The 20,953-nt window shown below is 39.8% G+C and overlaps 1 long non-coding RNA gene across 3 annotated transcripts in view, besides 1 other annotated feature; it reads left to right on the top strand.

The window, feature by feature from the left end:
- Positions 1-20,953, top strand: part of BHLHE40-AS1 (BHLHE40 antisense RNA 1) — an 83,153-nt gene that overhangs the window by 24,704 nt on the left and 37,496 nt on the right. Inside the window, exon 2 of one of the 3 annotated variants that reach the window (NR_125915.1) lies at positions 5,560-5,699. The exons of the other annotated variants lie outside the window; for them this stretch is intronic. This is a non-coding gene — a long non-coding RNA (BHLHE40 antisense RNA 1). The remainder of the gene's footprint in view (positions 1-5,559; positions 5,700-20,953) is intronic. 3 annotated transcript variants of the gene reach the window in all.
- Positions 9,076-9,240: a silencer, noted in NCBI's record as "fragment chr3:4987703-4987867 (GRCh37/hg19 assembly coordinates)". NCBI's record gives its function as "represses an EF-1alpha promoter that drives an FKBP-Casp9 reporter gene in an ReSE screen in HepG2 liver carcinoma cells {active_cell/tissue: HepG2}" and the evidence as "EXISTENCE:reporter gene assay evidence [ECO:0000049][PMID:32094911]".

Genomic DNA, 20,953 nt, shown 5'->3' with positions numbered 1-20,953 from the left:
TGTTCTCACTCATAAGTGGGAGCTAAGCTATGAGGATGCAAAGGCATAAGAATGACACAATGGACTTTGAGGACTCTGGGGGAAAAGCTGGGAAGAGGGTGAGGGATAAAAGACTATAAATTGGGTTCAATGTATACTGCTCAGGTGAGGGGTGCACCAAAATCTCACAGATCACCACTAAAGAACTTACTCATGTAACCAAATACCACTTGTTCCCCAAAAACCTATGGAAAGAAAAAATTTTTAAACAAACAAACAAACCAGCTATGCCCTGACCACCTTGGGCACATGTCCTCTGGAGATGTTCAGAACTTTGTGGATTTGTCTACATGGTGTTAAAACTTTTGAACAATTCAAACAACTGGCCAGTACTTTTTTTTTTTTTAAGCTATTTAATAGATAAGCCTGGTTGGTTAAGACTTATGAACTCATGGCCAGCTGTGCACATGAACTTTGCCTGGAGGTATCTTTCAGTACAGTTTAGAATAATAAGGATTTGTGATAAGAGTACCAAAGAAAAATAGACAAGTTGTATTTAATAAAGCTCCATGTCATTTAATAAAGCTCCATGTCACAATGGCTTCGCAAATATAGTGTGAACTCCTGGTGAATGGATACTTAAAAAAATTATCCAGAACCACTCAGATTACAAAATGTAACTCTTGATTACTACAGGAGATTGTATATTCATTCAGTCATTCATTCAACAAAGACTGAAGTGCCGTATTGGTTAGCTCCAGGTGCCATAGCAAAATGCCATAGACAGCATGGCTTAAACAAAAGGAATTTATTTTCTCACTGGAGGCTGGAAGTCGAGATCAGGGCACCAGCATGGTCGGGTTCTGGTGTGGGTTGTCTTCCTGGCTTGCAGTCAGCTGCCTTCTCCTTGTGTCCTCACAAGCAGAAGAGCACTCTGGTGTCTCTTCTTATAAAGACACTAATGCCATCATGAGGGTCCCTCCCTCCCGACTTCCCCTAAACCTAATCACCTCCCAAACGTCCCATCTCCAAACACCATCACATCAGGTGTTGGGCCTTCAACATTAGAATTTGTGGGAGGACACAATTTAATCCATAGCAAATGCCTTCCTGCACTTGGCATTGTGAACCGGAGAAATAAATCCAATCTCTATGCTTCTAGAGGGGAGAAACAGACAACACATGAATAAACAAATAAATAAAATCAATTAATTTCTGAACATGATGGCTGTCATGAGGGAAATAAACGAGGTAGTGAGATAGAAAATAATGGGGCAGGAGGTGAGGAGGCCACAAGGCCCTTCTGATGATGGAACATTTAGGCTGAGACCCAAGGAATGATAAGGAGCGAGCCAGAAAAGCCAGGACAGGGGCATTCTGGGAGGAAGGACAGCAAGGACAAAGGTGCTGAGGTGGGAGGGGGCTTGGCATGTTCTCAGACCAGATACAAGGCCAGTGTGATTTGAGGGTCTTGATTGTACGGCAAGGGACACAGACAAGATTGTACTGGTAGCTAAGGGCTGGATTATCTGCAGTTTTGTTAATAGTTAGTAATACCTGGGTGTTTTTGGTACATTGGCACTTGTTATAAGTTAAACTCAATTGCCTTCAATACTCTACAATGTGTGTTGATCATCTCACTTCCTCAACTCACTGTACCTATAGGAATATCCTTTGAAACCAAGACACCTAACCACGTATGGTCATTCAGGAAGACTCAAGAGGGGGCAGATACCATCCCCAGCATGGGAGAAGTTAAGCCAAGTTGATTCATTACCTGGAGCAGGTTTTCATTATTGTATTAATGATGAATTCTTAGACCATCTGACACCACAGTGAAATCAGCTGGGGATGACCAGCCATACACAATGGTGTGGCCAATTCAAAACACCCTTTTGGACTGGAGACTTGACCCTCAAGAGAGAGGATGCAGTGTGACTCACTAGAACTAAGGCAGTAAATTAGCCCACTTGGTGGTGAAAACCCATGCTGTTTAAGCCAACCCAAACCCAACAGGCATTTTCCCCATCCTTATCCAGTACAAAAGAGCTTTTGTCCTGGCAGAACTCGAGGAGGCCTCTGTATACAGACCTGATGTTATGCCAACAACATCTTGGAAAGGTATAAAATATCTGCTTCGTGAAGCTTTTGGTAAGATTAATAGTTTCTCCCAATATCACTGAGTGTTTAGGAGTAGAATCCAAGGTTCTCCTCACCCAGAAAGGATCTTTAAGTCGTCTCCTCTGCTTTCGTGTGTCACAGTGAAATGGTTCCAAAAAAGCATGCAAACATAAACACAGAAACGGCGTGGAAACTTGGCAGCCTTTGATCTCTAGTGTCTGCAGTTTGGAGGGTAAGGTTTACCCTCCAACCTGCATTCGTCTATGAGGATGCATGGATCCTTATAGATTCAACCACTTGATTATAGAAATTATTAAATGTATTACAAACATCTTATGCGCTGGTCGAAATGTTTTGTCATCAAGGGAAAATAGGTATTGTTACTTAAAATGGTCTGGTCTAATGAAATGCAAATACCAAAAGAGATGGAATATTGAAAATGTTTAAGAGGCAAGATAAATTGATAATTTAATGGGATAGTGCAGGCATAGTCTCCATTTACACCAGCATGTCAGATGAGGTCCTGAGAAACACAGAAAGATGTTTTTTCAGATTTCTGGATCTGGAGTGTTAAATTTCTGATGGCAATTCTCAGGAAACCAAATCATTGGCCTGGAAGTTTAAAGATATTTGGTAAACACGGTAGCCATTTTAATTCTGGAAATATGCCCTTTTGGCTTTTTAATTATTTAACTGGACTATGATATACAAAAATGGTATTTTAATATCAGTTGCTTATAATAGTTTAATTAGATTAATGACCAAACAAGTGAAGCTTTGCTCATTATCTAATATTTCAGCATGCTTTCTGAATGGGCATGGTTATCATGCCAACGTAGTATTTAAAAACCATATATTTCACTACATTTATTTAGATTGAATTTACCCTGAAGTATTTTCACTTAAGAGGAAGTGGGGTGGCCGGGCACTGTGGCTCACGCCTATAATCCCAGTACTTTGGGAGGCTGAGTTGGGCGGATCACCTGAGGTCACGAGTTTGAGACCATCCTGGCCAACATGGTGAAACCCCATCTCTACTAAAAACACAAAAATTAGCCGGGTGTGGTGGCGGGCGCCTGTAATCCCAGCTACTGGGGAGGTTGAGGCAGGAGAATCGCTTGAATCCGGGAGGCAGAGCTTGCAGTGAGCCGAGATTGCGCCACTGCTCTCCAGCCTGGGCGACAGAGCATGACTCCATCTCAAAAGAAAAAAAAAGGAGCGGAGTGCCTAAGAGCTAAAAAGACACTGAACTCATGAGTATATTAAGTGCCGCTGAGTATCTGTCACTAGTATAGGGGTGTCCAAGGAAGAGAATACAGTCATGGGTTCTTAGTTTCTCTTTCTGGTTGGGCCAGTAAAGCCCCTTCCTCATCCCTCTTTTCCACTTATCACTAGAGACAGAAACTAAAAACCACGGCTTCAGAATGCCAAAACCTAAAACAAACAAAACAGAACAACAACAACAAAATAAGGCAGGCTGGACAAGCTTGCAACCCTTCAAGATGATTGTTTTCACGGATTTAAAGAAATGGGATAGCACTTTGGGGGGCTGAAGCAGGCAGATCACCTGAGGTCAGGGGTTCGAGACCAGCCTGGCAAACATGGTGAAATCCCGTCTCCACTAAAAATACAAAAATTAGCCAGGCGGGTGGCAAACACCTGTAATCCCAGCTACTCGGGAGGCTGAGGCAGGAGAATTGCTTGAGCCCAGGAGGTGGAGGTTGCAGTAAGCCGAGATTGTGCCACTGTACTCCAGCCTGGGGAACAGAGTGAGACTCCATCTCAAAAAAAAAAAAAAAAAAGAAAAGAAAAGAAACCGGAAGAAATAAAATGGATGACGGAAAGAAAGAGAGTTTGCAGAGTGTACACGCTTTCTTGAACAGTTTTTTCTCGGGCTTTTTGCCCCACCCAGCTTTACTCATTAGCTCTAAGATCAAACAGGACTTTACGTTGGGAGGGACATTAATAAGGAGACTGTACAAATGGAAAAACCCAAAGATCTAAGCAGAACATCCGGTTCAGAGGAGAGACTGCACGGAGAGGGCAGTTATCGTCATAGTGCAAAGGAACACAATTAAAAAAGAGAGAGATGTCAGGGACCTCTCTGATTCATATTTGTTTATTCTGTGATGCTTTTCATGGCTCCTCTTCTATTTATTTTTTCATTATTCATTCACTCATTCATTCAACTTACTGAGTGCCAGTCATTATCCTAGTCATTAGGGAATTCTTTATTGACGTTCTCTTAATCTCTGTTGTTTTCAAGAATGAAGGGGGCCAGGCTCAGTGGCTCACACCTGTAATCCCAGCACTTTGGGAGGCTAAAGTAGGCAGATCACTTGAGGCCAGGAGTTCAAGACCAGCCTGACCAACATGGTGAAACTCCGTCTCTACTAAAAATACAAAAATTAGCCAAACATGGTGGCACCTGCCTATAATCCCAGCTACTGGGGAGGCTGAAGCATGAGAGTTGCTTCAACCCAGGAGGTGGAGGCTGCTGCAGCGAGCCGAGATTGCACCACTGCACTCCAGCCTAGGTGACAGAGCAAGACTCCAACTCAAAAAAAAAAGGAGAAGAAAGAAAGGAAATTGAGCAACTGGCAACTTCTTCTGGTGTGTAGAACAGACTCATTCCATTTGGATTTCCTTTTCCTGAACCAGTCTGAAGGGGCTGCCTGATCCTGCTCCATGCACCAACTGGGTTCCCGTGTCCTTGGCCAGAACTCCATAGAAGGCTCTGCCTTGGGGCCAGGGCCAGGAAAGGCCTCCACAACTCACAACTCTAAAATTGAGCCAGAATCATGACAAAATAGGGGAAAAGAAGATTCAGAAATGTTTGTCGTCATCTTCAAAATGATTACCCCTTCCTTGTTTGTAGAGTACTGATTTAAAAACAAACAACAACAACAAACAGAAACAAAATGATTACCCCTGGTCTGGGCCTGGGATGAAGCAAGGTGACCAGGGTGCAGCATGTAAGGAGACCCTCAGTCTCAGGGTTGTGCTAGTGTTTTCGTGCAAGTAGGTACTTTCTTAGATCTTGCGCCCTAGCTGTCTCCTTTACCTTATTCTAGTCTTGACCCTGCAATTAATTCTTTTCTTTACTCCCTCCACTGCTACCCTGAAGTGTCCACTGTCAGACACATTTGGAAAATATTGCTTACCATGTACAGTATATTCTTCAAACTACTTACAGCTTCTGGTTTATACACAGTGCACGCCTGTCTATTAAAGGCTCTGAGATCTCCTGCAGTAAGGAAATCCTATCTAACCCTGCATTTCCCAAATGTACTGGACTGTGGAAGTTTTTCTTCTTTTTAAAGAAATACTTATTAACATCTCATGGGACATCCAGGGACGCTGGTTAAGAAATACTTTGAATGGTTGTGTATGGAATGTACTCATTAGTTTGAAAAGTTTTCCTTGCTCAATAATAGCTATTTTCTATTCTGGATTTAGATTTCTTTGCAAGTTTCATTAAGCTCTTCAGCATCTGAGAAAGGATTAGAATGTTTATTCACACTCTCCAAATTCCAGTTTATCAGTTCATTGATTCATCAACGTTGATTAAGCACTTACTATGTGCTGAGAATACAAAGGTGAGTGAAATGGAGTTCCTTACCCCTAAGGGGCTAAGGAGGAGCAGAGACTTGCACAACTTAAGTCCAAATGCAATTTGATAATTGCTGTAAAAGCACAACACAAACAGGGAAAGCAGCTCAAAAAAAAAAATCCTTCGATGTTTTTTGTTTTGTTTTATTTTTGAGTCAGTCTGGCTCTGTAGCCCAGGCTGGAGTGTGGTGTTGCGATCTTGGCTCACTATAACCTCTGCCCCCTGGGCTCAAGCAATTCTCCCCACCTCAGCCTCCTGAGTAGCTGGGACTACAGGCATGTGCCACCACACCCAGTGTTTTTTTATTTTTTTGAAGAAACAGGGTCTCACTATGTTGCGCAACTGGTCTCAAACTCCTGAGCTCAAGCAATCTGCCCACCTTGGCCTCCCAGAGAACTGGAATTGTAGGCATGAGCCTCTGCCCCTGGCCTATCCTTTGATTGTTGTACCTCCAGACCAAATTAACTGCTCCTTAGGGAAAAGAGCTATTTGTGATATTTTTCAGTCTTTCCTATCACACCTAGTAGGGACTATGCACATAATAGAGGCTCAATAAATATTCATCAAATAAATATTTGAAGAAGAAAGCTTGCAACTTAACTGACGTACATTTGGTTATAATATCTATTAAAGATCATTCACAAAAACACTTTAAAAAAACATAAACAGAAGGTTGTACTGACCCCTCTAAGTTTCAGTTTCTCCATCTGTTAAACAACAACAAAAAAATAGTCCTAATTTCATGGGGTTCTGCGAGGATTAAATGAGAATGTATGTAAAGCGGCTATTATGTTCCTCAGCATGTTAATGGGTGGCCAATAAAAAACAGTGATTATGACTACAATGCACCGTGCTTTTCATCCACAATGACACACTCTGATATGATGAAAAGGTCACTTGGAGTTTTATTTGGCTCCATGAAACACTCTCTCGCTTGACAAGAATGTAGTGAACACATGCTGGCCAAGAGCCCTAGTTAAGACTACACACCACATACATACACACACACACACACACACACACACACACACAAACAGCACATCACAGCACACCACAGTGCACACACACACACACACACACACTCCTCCAACCTTCCCTTTCTTTCCATTAAAAGGCATCAGCAGGAGGCCAGGCTAAGTGGCTCATGCCTGTAACCCAGCACTTTGGGAGGCCAAGGCAGGAGAATCACTTGAGCCCAGGAGTTTGAGACAAGCCTGGGCAACATAGGGAGACCGCATCTCTACCAAAACAAAAAACAAAAAAGTAGTGGGCATGGTCGTGCACCTCTGTGGTCCCAACTATTCAGGAGGTTGAGGTGGGAGAATTGCTTGAGCCCAGGATGCGGAAGCTGCAGTGAGCCATGGTGGCACCACTGTACTCCAGCCTGGGTGACAGAGTGAGATCCTATCTCAAAAGAAAAAGGCATCAGTAGGAATTCCCCAAATGGTCTGATTTCCCCAACTCTCCAGTGTGAACTTGCTGAAATATAGGTTGACTCCTTCCTTGGAAGGCACTGTTTTGAGATCCAAGCAGGCTTGATAATGAGGAGGGAGAACCCATGAGTGCCCGTCAGCAAGACTCAGCATGACCTTAGGACTGGTCAGCTTTCCCGCCTCCACGAGGCTGGGAAGGGTTCTCTTGGTACCCAGCACTGATTCCTGCTTCATAGTGTAATTAGCTCAGTTGCCTTATCCTTTTCCCTCATCTAAATGCTCCCTGAGAGATGACTTTGAGCCACATTTACCTTGATATTCCTCTCTGCCCCTGCAGTGTTTTCCAAACCCAAACAGGCCTTCAAATTACCTGGGTGGCTTGTTAAACATACAGATTCTCTTGTCAAAACTTCTGGGAATGGGACCCAGAGAGCTGTGTTTGGAAGGCTTCTGGGGGATTTTAGGTGGCCAATGTGATGTTTGGGAAGCACCGGGCCACAGCACTTTGCTCAAGGTTTTGCTCACAGTTGGCCTACCATGTCTATGGAAAGAATGACCAATGAGAGGGTAGGACTTTGAGCAAACAAGGAGACATTTGGTGGAGGGGCGCATACACTTGCATATGTGCCATGTGGTCTACAGAATAGAATTCGGTCTGTGGCATAAGATGTTGCCTGTAGTTCAGAAACAGAGGCCCCAGGAGCCGGAAGATCACCTTCAGGGACCCTGAAGCAAAGCCAACTGCTTCTCATTCTGCCTCCACATCACCCTGTGGAAGGGCACAGCTGTTAATCATAATAATCTGGATTCTCGGAGGAGCTCCAGATTGATATCACGCTAGCCAAAGGATCCCAGGGGAAAGTAGCAGCATTCAGAAATAAATAAATAAATAAATAAATAAATAAATAAATAAATAAATAAAAGTCTCCTGGCACCCATAAATAAGATATCAGGATAGGAGCCTGATTGGCCCAGCTAAGGTCCCACACCCTTCCCTGAGCTAATCACTGTGACTAGGGTGCTGGGGTACATTGTTGGCCAGGCCTGGATTACTTGCCCATCCTTTGGCCCGGGGACAGGGTCGCATGATTGGCAACCACAAGAGAAGCACATGACTGAGGAGAGGCAGTTCCCTGAAGGTGTGGTTGCTACTGCCAGAGGAATGTATCTACTCCAGACTATGACCTTGACTTGCCCAAACAACTGAAGACACCAGCTAGCCCCAAAGGGAGATGTCCTATCCCCCAGGCAAAGCTTCTTAAGGATCCCCATTGAAGGAGCCTTCTTGAAGTAACTTCAAAGATAGTGAGTTTTTATTTCCTGAAGGTAAAAGCTCAAAGCAGACATATTCAGACCTAACATTTTTTGGAAGTCTCTTATTTCTAATTAAAAATAATGTTCTGGCCGGACGCAGTGGCTCATGTCTGTAATCCCAGAACTTTAGGAGGCCAAGGCTGGAGGTTCGCTTGAGTCCAGGGGTTCAAGACCAGCCTACGCAACATAGGGAGATCCTGTCTCTATAACTTTTTTTTTTTTTTTAATTAGCCAAGAATGGTGATGCACACTTGTGGTCCCAAGCTACTCAGGAGGCTGAGGTGGGACGACTGGCTGGGCACCACTGCACTCCAGTCTGGGAAACAGAGCAAGACCCTATCTAAAAAAAAAAAAAAGAAAAAAATCCCAAATTTTTATTATGAAAAATTTCAAACCTACAGAAAAGTTGAAAACATAGTACCAACACTACCAACATTATCCTTAAGTTTCAACAATTGTTAACATTTTACTACATTCACTTTATTTCTTTCTCTCTTCACACACATATATAAAGAGAAAGGGACACAAACAAAAACACGTGTATATTTACTTTTTTTTCTAAACCAATTAAGTGTTAGTTGTGGGTAGGCTGGGCGCGGTGGCTCAGGCCTGTAATCACAGCTCTTGGGGAGGCCGAGGCGGGTGGATCATGAGGTCAGGAGATCGAGACCACGGTGAAACCCCGTCTCTACTAAAAATACAAAAAATTAGCCGGACGCGGTGGTAGGCACCTGTAGTCCCAGCTACTCAGGAGGCTGAGGCAGGAGAATGGCGTGAACCCAGGAGGCAGAGCTTGCAGTGAGCCGAGATTGCACCACTGCACTCCAGCCTGGGGGACAGAGCGAGACTCTGTCTCAAAAAAAAAAAAAAAAAAAAAGAGTTGTGGGTAAAACGACACTTCACCCTTCAATACTCCAGCATATATTTTCTAAGAACAAAGACATTCTCCTACATGACTACAATGTAATTATTGAACTCAAGATGTTTAACATTAATGCAATGTTATTATCTAACATATAGGAACATTATGGAACATAATCTATATTCAGATTTTTCCCAAATGTCTCAATAATGCGCTTTTTTTTTTTTTTTTGACAGGGTCTCACTCTGTCACCCAGGCTGGAGTGCAGTGACATGATCTTGGCTCACTGCAGCCTTGACCTCCCAGGCTCAAGCAATGCTCCTGCCTCAGCCTTCCTAGTAACTAGGACCACAGGCGGGTGTCACCACGCCCAGCTAATTTTTGGTATTTTTTTGTAGAGACAAGGTTTCGCAATGTTGCCCAGGGACTGGTCTCAAATTCCTGACCTCAAGCGATCCACCCGCCTCAGCCTCCCAACGTGCTAGGATTACAGGCATGGGCCACTGCGCCTAGCCTCAGTGATGTCTTTAAAGTGTTATGGTTTGTTTCCCTCCTGCTCTGGTATCCAATCAAGGATGCTTCATTGCATATCGTTGTCGTATTGCTTTAGTCTCCTCTCTTTGTCTCTCACACCATTGATATATTTGGAGCTCAAGTTCCAGTTGTTTTGCCAAACGTCCCTTAATTTGGAAATCTATGGTTTTTTCCTTATGGTTGGAATCAACAATTTTGTCTGGAATACTATATACTTAGTGCATCCCCTCAGGGGCACATGATATAACTTACTTGGTGATGTTAACTTTGATCACTTGGTTATAATCATGCCTGCCAAATCCACCATTATAACACTCCAATTTCCCTGTATAATAAGTAATTCACGAGATCATGTGAATATCCTGTTTTCCAACAACCTTCCACCCAATGGTGATTTTTGTCTGAATCAATTATTAGTATGGCAGTTGTGAAATGGTGATGTTTCTATCCTTTCTTCTACATTTATTACTTAGTATTATTCTGTTAAAAAATTTCCCTCCACCTAACATTAATTTTTACATTTTTAGTAACAATTAGTAATAATGATGCATAAAAATCTATTACTGTCTTTATTCATTTTGATGTTTCATATTATCTGAAATGTGGCCAAAATACCTTCAGGCTGGCACTCCTGTCCTTTTGAGATAGCCACATCAGCTTTTGAACGTGTCCTTACTGTCTGTGAGAAGATGTTCCAGACTCACACTTGTACTTTCTTCTCCCTAACTCTGGAAACAGTCATTTCTCCAAAGAATCCTGATTCCTTATCATAGAAAATGATATTTAGAAACCAAGGTATAGGTGGAAGGTGTGCTTATTACTGTTGGAACGACACTACTCCCAGGCTCTGTAAGGAGACAGAGCCAGGGAATACTTGTCTGTATATATGCATGCACGTACTGAGATATAGCCACACATATCTTCAAATACTTCTATATGTATCTATACATATTAAAAACTCAGTTCATACTGGTAGCTCCAATTCCAATCCAACACTATAGAATTCATTCTATTTTTCTCACTTTCCATATTTGCAACTCAGTTCTTCAACAATGAGAAACCATTAGGAGAGAAAAATTAATTCTGCAAACATTATATCCCTAGAAGATCAGTAATAAAAAGAAATAATGCTCAACACACAACATGGATGAATTCTGAAAAATTATGTTGAGCAAAAACATTAGATACATGAAATAATCAGATATACATTATTGCATATTCCGTTTACATTCCATTTATACAAGCAAAGGTAATTTATGAGAATACAAACCAGAAAGTGGTTGCTTCTGGAGTGGGTGGGAGGATTGACAGGAAAGGAGTCAGAGGGAAGTTCTAGGGGGATGGCAGTGTTCTACAGATTGTGCTCAGTGGTGGCTACACAGATATATTCAACTGTCAACACTTATGGAACCACACACTTGAGAGCTGTACATCTTGTTGTACGTCAATTATGCCTTAATAAAAAAGAAAGACATAAAAATCTATAAATTGCTCTTAAATGGAAAGTTATTAAGCTTAACTCATAATAAGAGAATGCAAATTAAAACACTGAGACACCACTTTCATCTATATCAGTGGCAAAAATCAAAACCTTGACAGTACACACTGTTGGTGAGGCTGGGAGGGAAATGGGCATTCTCACCTGCTGGTGGGAATGCAAAAGAACAGCCCCAGTGAAGGGGAATTTGGCAATACCTAAAAAGAGCTATATTGACCCTTTGCCCCAGCAATCTCGCTTTTGGAAATTTATCCTAAATATGTATCTAAAGCTAATTTTCCCTACATACTCAGGTCTATTTCTTCACTTTTCATTCTTTTCTACTAGTCTACTTATCCTCCAGTACCACACAATTTTACTTCTAGAGGTCTTATAGTATGTGTTCATGTCTATTAGGGTTACTTCTACCTCTTTGTCTTTTTTTAGTTTTTCTAGCAATTCTTGTGTGCTTTATTTTAAATAAATAAGTATATATATATATATGTACACACGCAAATAGGTATTATATATATTTGTATATATGTGTGTGTATGTATATACCCATACAAATAGATATAGGCATTAAATAAGTATATATTTGTATAGGTGTATATACACATACACTCACACCCCATACAAATAGGTATATATACACACATACATATATATACCTATTTGTATACATATATACACATATACAAATAAAATATATATACATATATACAAATATAAAAATAAGTATATATACTTATTTAAAATAAAGCACACAAATAGGTATGTATATATGTATATGTTTATATATATGTGTATATATAAACCTATTTGTGTGTATATGTATGTGTATATATACACAAATATGTGTATGTATATGTGTGTGAATATGTATATATATATATTTGAAGTTTTGAAACAAAAACTTATTGGTACTTTTCATTGGAAATGCATTAAATTTATAATTTAAGAATAAGTAACATTTTTATGATAGTCATACTTTCTGAAAACAAAGGATGTCTTTCCATCAAGTGTATACTTATATCTTTTAAGAATGTTTTACAGATTTCCTCTTATAACTTTTGCACATTTCTTATTAATACCTAAGTTTTTATCTTTATTATTGTTGCTATTGTAAATGGGGTTTTTGCTTTCATGATTCCTTCTAACTAGTCGGTCATTGTTTGTGTATATGAAGCTATTGGTTTCTGAAGGTTAATTTTATACCCTTTTATATTATTGAATTACTTTATTGTTTGAGTTAGTTTTATCATTTAACCTCTTGGGTTTTACAGGCATACTACCATATCATCTGGAAATGTACATAGTTTTACTTCTGCTCTTTCAATTCTTATGCTTCAAATTGCTTCCTTCTGCCTAACTGCATTGGCTGATACCTTCTATACTGTGTTAAATAGTAGTAGATATACTTGGCATCCTTGCCATATGTCTGACTTTAGTGAGAATGTCACCAATTTTTTCCAATTAAATAAAAAGTTGGCTTTTGACTTAAGTATTTTTATTATGTTAACCATATATCCATCCTCCTATTTTATTAAGAATTTTTTATTTGAAATGAGTGTTGATGTTTATCAAAATCCTTTTCAACTTTTATAGAAATTATTATATAACTGTTCTTACATTAATATGATGAATTATTTTAATGAATTTGCTAATATCAAACCATTCTTGCATTCCTGAAATAAACTCTACTTGATCATGATGTATTTCTAAATGAGGTATTAGATTCTGTTTGTGAATGTTTCATTTGTTTTTTTGCATCAATATTTGTAGGTTAGAATGATTTATATTTGTGTGTGCATGCACTGTATTTGTTAGGTTTAAGTATAAATGTTAATCCTGCTTTATAAAAAATTTAGAAGCCTTTTTCTATTTTCTATGCTCTGGAATAATTCATGTAGCATTGGTACTATTTGAATTTTGAAGGTTTTCTGGAATTCTCTTGTGAAACTGTCTGAGTGTGATGGCTTTTAATGGGGTAGTTCTTTGAAACTTTCTTTAACAATTCTTTGGAAATGTGTCTGCTTAAGCATTTTCTCTCTCCTGGGGTCAATTTTGTAAAACTGTATTCCTAGGAAGTTATCCATTTCAAAAGTTTTCACATTTATTTATGTATGATTATGCAATGTAGTCTCTCATGATTTAAAAAAATTCCTCCATGATAAAAGTTATTTGTCACTTTTCTTTTTTATAGATTTATGTTTTCTTCTTTGTTTTCTTGATTAGGTTGGCTACTGTTTCCCTCTGCCCAAGGAACCACCATTTTAATTTATGTAGTTTTATCATTTTCCTGTTTTTTTAAGCCCTTTAATTTCTACTTCAATATGTATTATTCCTTTCCTTATGTTTTCTTTTGGTTGATTTTGTTGTTATTTTTCTAGCTTATTTGAGTTGGAGTTTAATTCACTTGTTTTCCTCTTTTTATTTTTATTAATGTAAGCATTTAAGGCTATGAATTTCCCTCTGATCACTAGTCTAATGTATCCCATAAATTCTCATATACAGTGATTTCATTATTATTATTATTTATTATTATTTTTTTTTCAGACAGGGTCTCACTCTTCACCCAGGCTGCAGTGCAGTGGACCAATCATGGCTCACTGCAGCCTCTACCTGCCAAGGCTCAGGTGATTCTCTTGCCTCAGCCCCCTGAGTTGCTGGGACTATAGGTACGTGCCACCATGCCCGGCTGATTTTTGTATTTTCAGTAGAGACAGGGTTTCGCAATGTTGCCCAGGCAAATCTCGAACTCCTGGCCTCAAACAATCCACCTGCCTTGGCCTTCCAAAGTGCTGGGATTCCAGGCATGAGTCACTGCACCTGGCCTCATTACTATTCTTTTTTAGAAATGCCACCATTGCAGTTTTTATGCCCACTTTCACCTAAGTGTTTTTTTTTTTTTTTTACAGGCTCATATCTGACCAATCCTCATTGTTGTTTAATAGACAAGATTTAAATTTTCACCTGTAAAGGCCTTTAAAATATTTTGTAGCTTTATTGTATTGTGATAAGAATTATGCCTTATTTTTATTTTTATTTTTAGAGACAGGGGTCTTGCTATGTTGCCCAGACTGGCCTCAAACTCCTGGGCTCAAGTGATCCTCCAGCCTTAGCTTCCCAAGAAGCTGGGACTATAAGCACATACCACTATGCCCAGCTAGAATTATGTTTTAAAGCACTTAACAGTTAAAATGTTTTCCTCCTAGAACATTTAAGTGCAATTGACACGGGAAGATGTGCTATATTCACCTGGTGGCATCTCATATCCTCTGGCTTACAACCACATATCTCTGACAGCGTGTTCAGCATTTTTTGGGTCACACTTTTTAAAGAGTAAAATCAGTTCTTCTCATAATGTTCTAGTATTACCTTTTAAAAAATGGTTTTCATTTATTACATATGTATTTTTTTAAGAGACAGAGTCTTGTTATGTTGCCCGGGCTGGAGGGCAGAGCCTATTCACAGGTACTATCACAGCACACTGCAGCTCTGAACTCCTGGACTGAAGCGACCTCCCACCTCAGGCTCCCGAGTAGCTGCGACTGTAGGTGCACCACCGCACCTGGCTAGTATTACCTCCTTCTTCTTCTTCTTTTTTTTTTTTCTTTTGAGACAGAGTTTTGCTCTTGTTGCCCAGGCTGGAGTACAATGGCACAATCTCAGCTCACTGCAGCCTCCACCTCCTGGGTTCAAGCAGTTCTCCTGCCTCAGCCTCCCGAGTAGCTGGGATTACAAGTGCATGCCACCAAGCCTGACTAATTTTTTTTGTATTTTTAGTAGAGATGGGGTTTTGCTATGTTTGCCAGGCTGGTCTCAAACTCCTGGCCTCAGGTAATCCACCTGCCTTGGCCTCCCAAAGTGCTGAGATTACAGGCATGAGCTACTGTGCCCAGCCAGCTAGTATTACCTTCTTATCAATAGAATGATAATGTTTGATTAAAATGATCTGGTTATATCAGACCATATGGTTCACTAAAATACCAACCTAAAAATATATATGCCTTCAATTTTCTTGTGGTTCAATAATTTTATGAGAACCTAAATGCTTCCTTTTTTTCCCACTTCACTGAGAAAATTTTATCTCATGCAGTCTTTGTTTTACTGTATACTAAAGGTCAACTAATGGCCTACAGTTCTACATTAAGAGCAAAATGATGGCTGTATTTACCAAAACCTAGCATAAGACCTAACAATTTATGAATGTTTAATGAATATTTTTGAAATTCATAAGTGAATATTCTAATATAGATTATAGTTTACTTTTGTAAAATAACAGCACTTTGATAGATCTTTAAGTAGTTAAGTATGATTGCTTTAATCTTACTACTAAAAACCATTTTCTATCATATTTGTAATCTAAGTTTAATGGGTTGTAGTGCCTTTTAGCTTAAGTGCAGTGGATTGGAAACAGCATTTTTAAGGGTGGGTGTCAGAAGACCTAGAGTTTTCTCAAGCTAATGGGAGGAAGGAACTGTTGTCTTTAAGTAATGAATCATAGATTCTTTTTTTTTTTTTTTTTTTTTTTTTTTAGACGGAGTTGGAGTTTTGCTCTTGTTGCCCAGGCTGGAGTGCAATGGCGTGATTTCAGCTCACTGCAACCTCCACCTCCCGGGTTCAAGCAATTCTCCTGCCTCAGCCTCCCAAGTAGCTGGGATTACAGGTGCCCGCCACCATGCCCGGCTAATTTTTTGTATTTTTAGTAGAGATGGGCTTTCGCCATTTTGGCCAGACTGGTCTCAAACTCCTGACCCCAGGTTATCTGCCTGCCTCGGCCTCCCAAACTGCTGGGATTACAGGCATGAGCCACCATGCCTGGCCAAATCATGGATTCTTTAAAGTGATGTCAAGAAGATAATTCTTGAAAGGATCAAAGGATGGCTTCACAAGTCACCAAACATTTCCCTTAGGTGAGGGTCTCCAGACAGAATGTGGAATGAAACACAGTTTTGACAAGCAAACCTCTTAGAATTGTGTGATGGTCTGTAACATTTGGTGAACCATGCCTCCTGGTACTTACACCCTTTCATAACCCGCTCCCTTGAATCTGGACTGGCCCTGGGGCTCATTTTAACCAATGGACTGTGATGGAAGTAATGCAAGCTCCAGGCCTAAGCCTGTCAACTTCTGCTTTTCACTCTTGGAACCAGCCACCATGCTCTAAGAAGCCCAAGTCACATGGAGGGTGGGTGTCAGAAGACCACACAGAGCAGTGCCAAGGCACTCCAAGAGTGAGCCATCTTGAATGTATCACACCAGACTGAGCCCTTAAATCATGGGTGGTCAAACAGTGCCTTTCAGTGAAATCTGGTCCGCCATCTGATTTCTGTAAATCAAGTTTTATTGGAACACAGCTACGCCCTTTGATTTATATATTATCTATGACTACTTTGTCACAACAATGGTATGGCTGAATCATCATGCCAGTTGACCATATGGTCCACAAGGCCTAATGTATCTGTTATTTGGTCCTCTATGGGAAAGTTTGCTGAGCCCTGCCCTAGATGGCTGCAGCACCAGCTGGCTTCATGTGATGAAGAAATGCCAACCTGAGCCCAATCCACCCACAGACTCATGAGCCACAGTACAATGGTTGCTGTCTTAAACCATTAAGTTTTGGGATGCTCTGTTATATAGCCACAATAGTGACAAATTATACAATCCAATATCTGAATTGTATAAGCTTGATGATTTCATAGTTTAAATTTTTATGCTCTTTTCTTTTGTTTTAACTCTTTGTAAGCTTTATTTAACATTTTCTAAGTTGTGTTATCCATGTGTCATTGAAACTTCTCTTACCAAGGCAACCTTCTCCTTGTTGTTACATTCAATGGAGGTTTTTCAGTCTTCACCTCATTTGACTCTTGACCAACATTTGACACTGTTGAACTTCTTGGTTCCTGAGATATTTTTCCCTTTTATTCAGTTACAGCATTATCTCCAAGCTTTCTTTGGTTTTACAGGAAGCTCCTTATCAATTTTCTTTTGGAAATTCTGCCCAACACTTAATGTTAGAGTTTCTCAGAATTCTGTCTTAGATTTCATTCAATATTCAAAAGATATATATTTTTTAATTCATAAGTGAATAATCTACATATAGATTATACTTTATATCATTTCTATGTAGAAATACAAATTATTTTAAATTATAATTTGTATTTTTACATAGAAATTATATAAACTATAACATAATGTACTTTATGCCAGGCATTTTTCTAGGTACATTGGATACCTTAATAAACAAAACAGGCAAACAAAAGTCGTTCCTGCCCTTGGATAAATTTTTAAATGTACACATAATAAAATAAATTTTTGCAAAAGCTAGAAGTTGATAAGTGCTTTAGAAAAGAAAATCAACAGGGAAGGGGAAGGGAAGTAGGGAGTACGCAGGGGAAGGGGAGGGCAATTTAAAGAAGGGTACTCAGAATAGGCCTTTTTGAGATGATGATATTTGAGCAAAGCCTTAAAAAAGGCAAAAGACCTGACATGTACCTATGTCAGCATTTCTGGCAGAGAGAGTAGTATTTCAGAGACCTGAAAGCAAGGAGCATGTCTGAAAGGTTTGAAGACAAGAAGGTTGTCCCCTGTGGTGGAAACGAGTGAACATCAGGAGATGAAGTTGAAGAAATCTCAGGCTCCCGGGGTCCTGTAGGACCTTGTAAATTATGGTCAGGCATTTGTGTTTTCTGAGTGAGATGAAGGGTTACAGGGGAATTTTGAGAAGCATGAAGTCATCCGATCATCAAAAGAATCACTGTAGCTGCTGAACTGAGAAGAGAACAGAGGTGGCAGGAAGGGCGATAGAGAGACCTGCTAGAAGCTCTGGGAGTGACCAAGGGCAGCAGTGGAAACAAAGAGGAGTGACCATCTCTGGACAGTCGTACAGACTCATGCTTCCATGGTTCCTATTACCATTCACATGCTGATACTCCCCGGTCTATGTTCTAGCCCAGATGTCTCTCCTGAGTTTCAGACCCACATATTCCAAATACCTGTTTGTCTTCCCTTTTTTTTCCATGTTCCACAGGCACTTCAGTTTCTACGCTTTCCTCTAAAGCCTTTTTCTCCTCCCATGCTCCCTCTATGTCACTACTAAAGCCATGCAGCTACACCTTTCTATGAAGGCATTATCTTTAAAAGGTCACTGTTAAAACATATGTTAGTGGAGAATCTGTGCTGGTCCACAGACATTTTGGTTTCCACTAACACATCATTATGGTTTAGTTTATCAGCTTTTCTGCCTATGATGGTGGCTTTAAGGATTGGATATAGGATCAGCAGGTTTTAATTGGCATAGGAAGATGGAATCCTGCCTTAGAAGTCAGTTTAGGGCAGGGTGTACCATATTGGTGGGATGCTGAACACCCTGAGGATGGAAGATGGGAGTTACTGAGGGAATTCCTTTCATTTCACAGTTTTACCCAATACAGGAACTGTCACTGGAACACATAATTCTGAAATTGTCAGTTTTGTTACAAATAGTGCACTTATCACGTAACCGTCGTGCAAATAAAATTCTGTATATGTTATAGAATTTTAATATGTGAATTCCATTTTCTTCCATCTCTCTTAGGAATTGTTTTGTCCACTTGCCATAATAATTTTAGAATTTTGCATTCATCCTATTGACTTGTAGCAAAGGCAATACTTTCACTCTGGAAAACATTTAGTCTGAAGGTTGTGTGACTCCTTTTTCCACGATCTTTGTTTTTTCATAATTCGTGTGTAAAGGAGTTTACACATAAATATCTTAATCTTTTATTTCTAACCCTTACAAGAGTTTTTTTTTTAAATAATAGATACAAAGGAAATAAGTTTTCCTAAATTATATTTTACCACATCATACTTGTATGTGGGAACAAGTCTTATAAAAATCATTAATGTGAAACTAACTAGGCCAAGGAGAGCTATTATTTTTTATTAGAAAATTAACTTCAAAATGAATGTTTAAATACAAGCTTCACATAGTTAAAAATGCAATTAAGGCTGATTCATTGACACTTGAAAGCTCTTTTTATATATTTATCATTTATTCAACAAATATTTATCAAAGGATTGCTCTGTGCCAGGCAGTATGCTTGCACTTGGGGTGGAGCATAAACAAAGACAAGGACCCTGCACTGTGGAGCTTAATTCTAAAGGGAAAAGTAGACAAAAAATAAGTTAAAAAATAAATTACTGCTTGCAAAAAGTGCTAGGAAGGAAATAAACCAAATGGAGAGAGAGAGAGAGAGAGAGAAAGGAGAGGCTACTTGAAAGAAGGTCTTTCTGAGAAGATGAATGTGAGTTGAGACCTGAAACCACAAAGGTGAGGTTGAGTCAGCCATGAGAACTGAGAAATGCCTCCCAGCAGAGGGACCAGCAGGAGCAAAGGCCCAGAGGCAGGAAAGGCTTCATGTTCCAGAAACAGAAAGGAGGCCAAAGTGGCTTCAGTGAAGTGACCAAAAATGAGAGGCACCAGACAGGCTGGAGGGAGGGGCAGAAGCCAGATCACGCAAGACTCTGTAAGCCTTGGGAAGGAATTTGGATTTCATTCTGAATGTGATGAGAGGACAATGAAGGGCTTATGAAAAGGAATGATTTGACCTGATGCTCTCCTTTTTGTTTTTTTTTTTTTGTTTTGAGATGGAGTCTTGCATTGTCACCTAGGCTGGAGTGCAGTGGTGCGATCTCCACTCACTGCAACCTCCGCCTCCCAGCTTCAGGAGATTCTCCTGCGTCAGCCTCCCAAGCTGCTGGGATTACAGGTATGCACCACCAGGCCTGGCTAATTTTTGTATATTTAGTAGAGACGGAGTTTCACCATGTTGGCCAGCCTGGTCTCAAACTCCTGACCTCAGGCGATCCACCATCCTCGGCCTTCCAAAGTGCTGAGATTATAGGCATGAGCCACAATGCCCAGCTCTCCGGTTTTTTATTTATTTTATTTTTTAATTTTTAATTTTTATTTGTTTTAATTGTGGGAAAATACACATAACATAAAATTTACCATTTTAACCATTTTTAAGTGTACAATTCAGCAGTATTTTGTACATTCTCGTTGTGCAACTGTCACCACTGTCCATCTCAAGTACTTGTTTCATCTTCCAATGGAAATTCTGTCCCTCTTAAACACTAACTCCCCATTCTCTGCCTCCCCTCCCACACCATCTAATCACAATTCTACTTTCTGTCTCTGATTTGCATATTCTGGGTACCTCCAATAAGTGGATCATATAATATCTGTAATTTTACCTGGCTTATTTCACTTAGCATCATGTTTTCAAAGTTCACTCATGCTGTAGTATGTGTCAGAATTTCATTACTTTTTAAGGATAAATAATATTTCATTGTATACACACACTACATTTTGTTTATTCATCTGTTGATGGACACTGTCTTCTGCTTTTTAATGAAGGATTAATTATTTCAATGCTTTTTGTGGGAAGAAACAACAATATGAAAAATAGTTGTTGAATGGAGTTGTGTCTGATAGGATTTATACTCAAAATGATAATTGTGTAAACAAGGTATCAGTTTGTTTTTCTCTCACATAGAGGTAGATGGTCCAGGACCAGTATGATGGCTCCATACTTGTCAGGTTGTCAGGGACCCAGAATCCCTTCTGGCTT

Source organism: Homo sapiens, chromosome 3 (assembly GCF_000001405.40).
Source record: "Homo sapiens chromosome 3, GRCh38.p14 Primary Assembly".
In the NCBI taxonomy this organism is placed as follows: Eukaryota; Metazoa; Chordata; class Mammalia; order Primates; family Hominidae; genus Homo; species Homo sapiens.
Note: the sequence above shows the minus strand (reverse complement) of the source record. Positions and strands in the feature narration are given on the sequence as shown.